The sequence below is a fragment of the Homo sapiens genome, chromosome 1, assembly GCF_000001405.40.
Source record: "Homo sapiens chromosome 1, GRCh38.p14 Primary Assembly".
Classification (NCBI taxonomy): Eukaryota; Metazoa; Chordata; class Mammalia; order Primates; family Hominidae; genus Homo; species Homo sapiens.
The window spans coordinates 248,212,930-248,218,932 of NC_000001.11; positions in this window are offsets into that span (position 1 = coordinate 248,212,930).

Consider the following 6,003-nt stretch of genomic DNA (forward strand, 5'->3'; position numbering starts at 1 on the left):
GAATTATCTAGTATACATTTTGATATTTCTAAAACCACTAAGAACAATAAAAACTTGTTCAATAAATTATTGATTCTTAAAGTAATTACCATCACTCTGATTACAGTGAAGGGTAAGCTCCCTTTGCAGTTCCTTCTTTCTTTCTCAATATCTCTGTTTCTTTGGTGTTGACTAAAATGGTTAGAATTGCTTGGTACTAAACCATCAGAGTCTGTTTCTAAATCTAGAGGCTGTATCTCTTTATGTTCAGAAAATTTTCTCTTAATATCACCTATAAACAATACTAATCTCCATTTTCCCTTACATCTTCAGCCCCTGCTCCTGTCTCATCCTACACACCGAACTCCTACTTCCATCAGTCCTGCTGATTACAAATGCAATTTTATTAGTGGACATTCAAGATTACCTGCAAATATTATTGTTTACACCCTAATCATGATAATGTGTAATATTTTTTCTTCAGTTAGCAGTATATATATATATATATATATATATGTATATATATATATGTATATATATATATGTATATATATATATGTATATATATATATGTATATATATATATGTATATATATATTTATATATATATATGTATATATATATATTTATATATATACACACACACACATTTACACACACACACACATATATATATTTGATGATTTAATTAGGCCATTTATATTTATATCAATTTAAATCACAAACAAAATAATGGAAGTAAAATATATAAGAAGGTAAAACCTCAACATTTGTTTATTTTGAGGAATATAGGTATGATATTAATTCAACCATAGCTCAATTAACACACATATCTTTGTATCAGCCTTATATTATTTTTATGCTTTTTAAACTTGTACTATAGACTCCTACCCGCAGGCTCTACTACATGTACCATATGCACACACACATACATACATAAAGCATCCATTATTTGGGGTTACATAGCTGACATTTTAGTTCTAAAATCTTACTGGTATACCTGGCCATATAATAGTTCCTTGGAGATGGGATTAGAACAAGTTCCTATGGCAGTTTGGGTTCACTCAGGAGACAGGAACTACACAGGGATTTTAAAAAGGAGACATTTAATATATAGAATTATTAGCTATAATAAAGTGTAACTATAATGTATATTATTTTAAAACTCAGTATAAAATTAGGAATTTCTTGACTTAGGGCAAGGGAGAGTACCCAAGAAGGACAAAGTTGGAAAAGGTGCACAGCTCGGTGGAGAAAGGATGGTTCAAAGCAGTAAAGTTTGCTGGTTTAGCCGGCGCAAAGCTGGTATAGAGCTGCTAGGAAAGAAGTAGGAAACTGTCCAGAGAGCAGGCCAGGGAGCAGGTACGCAACAAACAGTGACCTGAGCATAGAGTTAAGTCTAGGTGCCAATGGAGGTAGAAGGACTTCGGAATACAGATGCTAAATAGAATGACAGCAGTGAACACAGAAGGAACTACTGCTCATCAAGTGATCTTCTGGGTAACAGCCTCATGCACGTTACACAGGGCTTTGTTTCTGTGGCAACAGGACTGCAGAAAGGATATGGCCAGGCTGACGTAGACAGTGTTCTAGGTTTCTTCCTGAGGAAGGATATACTAGATGGATTAAAGTCTTCAATGTAAAACCGAAAACCATAAAACCCTAGAAGAAAACCTAGGCAATACCATTCAGGACATAGGCATGGGCAAAGAATTTGTGACTAAAACACCAAAAGCAATGGCAACAAAAGCCAACATTGACAAATGGGATCTAATTAAACTGAAGAGCTTCTGCACAGCAAAAGAAACCATCATCAGAGTGAACAGGCAACCTACGGAATGGGAGAACGTTTTTGCAATCTATCCATCTGACAAAGAGCTAATATCCAGAATCTACAAGGAATTTAAACAAATTTACAAGAAAAAAAATCAAAAAGTGGGCAAAGGATATGAACAGACACTTCTCAAAAGAAAACATTTATGTGGCCAAGAAACATATTTAAAAAAGCTCATTGTCACTGGTCGTTAGAGAAATACAAATCAAAACCACAAAGGGATACCATCTCATGCCAGTTAGAATAAGGATCATTAAAAAGTCAGGAAACAACAGATGCTGGAGAGGATGTGGAGAAATAGGAATGCTTTTCCACTGTTGCTGGGAGTGTAAATTAGTTCAACTATTGTGGAAGACAATGTGACAATTCTTTAAGCATCTAGAACCGGAAATACCATTTGACCCAGCAATCCCATTACTGGGTATAGACTCAAAAAATTATAAATCATTCTGGTATAAAGTCACATGCACATGTATGTTTATTGTGGCACTGTTCACAATAGCAAAGACTTGGAACCAACCCAAAAGCCCATCAATGATAGACTGGATTAAGAAAATGTAGCACCTATACACCATGGAGTACTATGCAGCCATAAAAAAGGATGAGTTCATGTCCTTTGCAGGGACATGGATGAAGCTGGAAACCATCATTCTCAGCAAACTAATGCAGGAACAGAAAACCAAACACCACATGTTCTGATTCATAAGTGGGAGTTGAACAATGAGAGCATACGGATACAGGGAGGGGAATATCACACACCGGGGCCTGTCGGGGGATGGGGGGCTAGGGGAGGGATAGCATTAGGAGAAATACCTAATGTAGATGACAGATTGATGCGTGCAGCAAACCACCATGGTATGTGCATACTTATGAAACAAACCTGCACATTCTGCAGATGTGTCCCAGAACTTAAAGTATAATAAAAATAAATAAATAAATAAAAGAGAAATAACAGAATGATTAGTATATGCAAATGAACACCTGAAAGTAACAAGCACAGAGAAAATATGAAATGCCACCACAGTTCTTATTTCTGTAACTGGACATGAGTTCATATTTTACATCTATGGTTTCTTTCTTCAATTTCTGTTCCATTATTCCCCTGAGCTAGCACCTCAGCTATACTCCATTCTTTACTAGGTAAATTGACCCAAACCTTTATTTTGAAACATTCTGCAATTTCAGTCACCCTGCAATTTTTTTTTTTTATTTCTGTGATTTTACATTGATTTTATTATCGGACATAAAAATACTAAAAGTTACCCTAGGGAATTACCTGGGCTCAACATAAAGAATTTCTTCCTTTAATTGTATAGCAGCAACTAAAATTTTGCCTAGGTAAGCAGAAACAATCACTCCACTTCATAAATGAAGCTCTCTTTTTTTTTATTGGTTTAGTGGCATAAGGAGCATTAAATGGTTGAATGTCAGTTTCATCTTCTAATTCAGGGCTACTATAGCTGCATTCACAATGGAATAACTTTCCCCTTATGGAACCAAACCTTCAAACCAACAGAGGTCAACATTTCTAGGACAGAAAGTAAATATTCTGCAAATGGGTAATTAAATGTAATGTTGAGAGTAGCCACGCCGTTTCTATTACTTCATTCTCAGACTCATGGATTCTGGCCAGGAAGGAGGCAGAATTCTATAAGCAAAAGCTATACCCTGTAAAGCAGAACCCCATCTGATCAAGGGGTTGTTTCCTGAGTGGTGCCGCAATTAAATTTTTGTAATCAACTCCACCCTTCCATTAGGCCAACTTCCTCTAAGCAATGAGGTATGTGGTAAGACAAGTTGATTCCATGACCATAATCCCATTGTTGCACTTCCTATGCTGTGAAATATTTCCCTTCATCTAAGTCAGTTCTCCATAGAATACCATGATAGTGGATTAGACATTCTGTGAATCCACAATAGTGGTGCTGGCAGAGCATTATCATCAAGGAAGGCAAACACGTATCCAAAATATGGGTTTATTCCAGTGAGGACAAATATTTGTTTCCTCTACTGTGGTGTGGGTCTAATGGTGGCAGTCTGTTATCCAGGGTAATAATATGATGTAAGGAACTCAGTGTTGTTCTCTGCTTTTTGCAGAATAAGCACTCAGTAATAGGAGTAAGCAGGTTATTTCGATAAGGGAAAGTTTAGAATGTTGAGCTCAGGCATAGCCTTCATCCATGCCACTGTGGTCATTTTGTTCAGGGACGATTAACCAGAAAAAGAAGCTGACTAAGTTTTATACAGTGCATAATTTCATTCAATGGTGGATAAGAGTTTCCTCTGGGACAGATGCTTTTGGACTGTATAAAACACAGATATCTTCACAATCCATGCCAATTATGAGAGGTTTACCCACATACTTCCTCATCAAACTTCCTTGCCACCAATCTTCTGATTTTTTTCCTTCCAGGTTCTTGACTGTCAGCAAAATCATTCACCACTGATGTGTAGAGCAGTTGTGCTGCAGCCTGATTCTTCAGCAGAGACTTTCCTTGCTCTAGTCTCCACTCAAAACAGACAGCCTTACAGTGACTCTGTAGATGGGTCAATGTAAAACACTCAAATATGGTCTATGCTGCTTCCAAAATCCAAAATATTTGCCTATGTCTTTATGGTAGGTCCTGGTAGGTAAATCAACTTGTTTTCTACCTTGGAGGGAATATCTCCTTATGTTTTAGATCACTGTAACCTTCACTGAGATGGTGAATTCTTTAAATTGTCTGGGGCTATTTTCTAGCCTTTTACTTCAATATACCTTATTAAAGCATTTAAAGTCCTTGCTACTTTCTACTAAATAGAACCAATCAGCATAAGTTCATCAATATAGTAAACCAATGTGATGATCTTTGGAATATCAAGGAAATAAAGATTTCAGCAGACAATATTATGGCAAACAGTAGAGAAATTTGTGTAGCCCTGATATAACATATATATTGCTGGCCCCAACAGGTAAAAGCAAACTCCCTGTTGTGGTAGTTATATATTGTTATAGAGAAAACAGAAAACAAGTTAATGGCCACATACCAAGTAGCAGGAGTTGTTATAATTGACTGCAGAAAAGACAGAATATTTGAGACAGCAGGTTTTATTGGATTTACCCTCTGGTTAAGTTGATGATAGCCCACAGTCATATTCTAATATCCATCTGACTTCTGCACAGGCTGCAATGATGAACTCAATGAGATGTGATTGTTATCACTGCTTCACCTGTTTTTATGTCTTTGAAAGTAGCATTAATCTCTGCAACTCCCCTAGGGAGACACATTGCTTCTAGTTTACTGTCTTGGCAGAAAGGTGAAGTTCCAGGTGGTTTCATTTTGCCTTTTGCATTATAATATCCCTCATCCCATGGGTCAAATTCTCAACTTCAGGATTCTACCAGTATGATATTTACTAAATATGCTTATCCCAATTATACATTCAGGAACTGGGGAAATAGCAACAGGGTGGTTCTGTGGACCAACAAGTCTCACCGTGAATCAGACGTGAGATACAACTCCATGTATCCCCTGACCATCATAAGTCTCTACTTTGACTGGTCAACCACAATGATGTTTTGACATACCAGAAATTAGCATCATTCAGAGCTGGCGTTTAGTAATCCTTCAAAATTGTGGCTACTTTCTTCCCCTAATGTATGGTTACTCTAGTAAATGGCCTCAGGCCATGTTGGGAAAAGCTCAAAGACAGTAACTTACCCATATCAACTCATCTATACCCATCTAGTGTTATATTTTTCTCTATTTGGTTTGCCATCCTGAGAGTTTATTCACACACACGTTGCCTAGCTACCTGCTTCACACAATATTGCAATGATTTTAGTGCATTAACTACTTTCTCTTAGATCATAGTGTGAGCTTATCTCTTGGAACATGTTGAAATTTGACTCTAGTTATGTGTCTAGTGTCAACAAGGGGTGATTGTGTTAGGCCCTAAGGATGATGATAGTTTACCTTCAATGGCCTTCCCAACAGGTATTGCATGTTTTCCAACTAAGGAAGGCTACTCAGATATCAGAGGGCAAGCTGCTTTCACTGGAAAAGGAGTGTCTTTGTCCAGCTGGGCTGCTGGATAACAAAATACCATAAACTGGGTAGCTTATAAACAACAGAAATGTAAACCTTGCAGTTCTGGAGGAAGGTGCTGGCAGATTTGGTGTCTTTTGAGGGTGTGCTTCCTAGTTCACA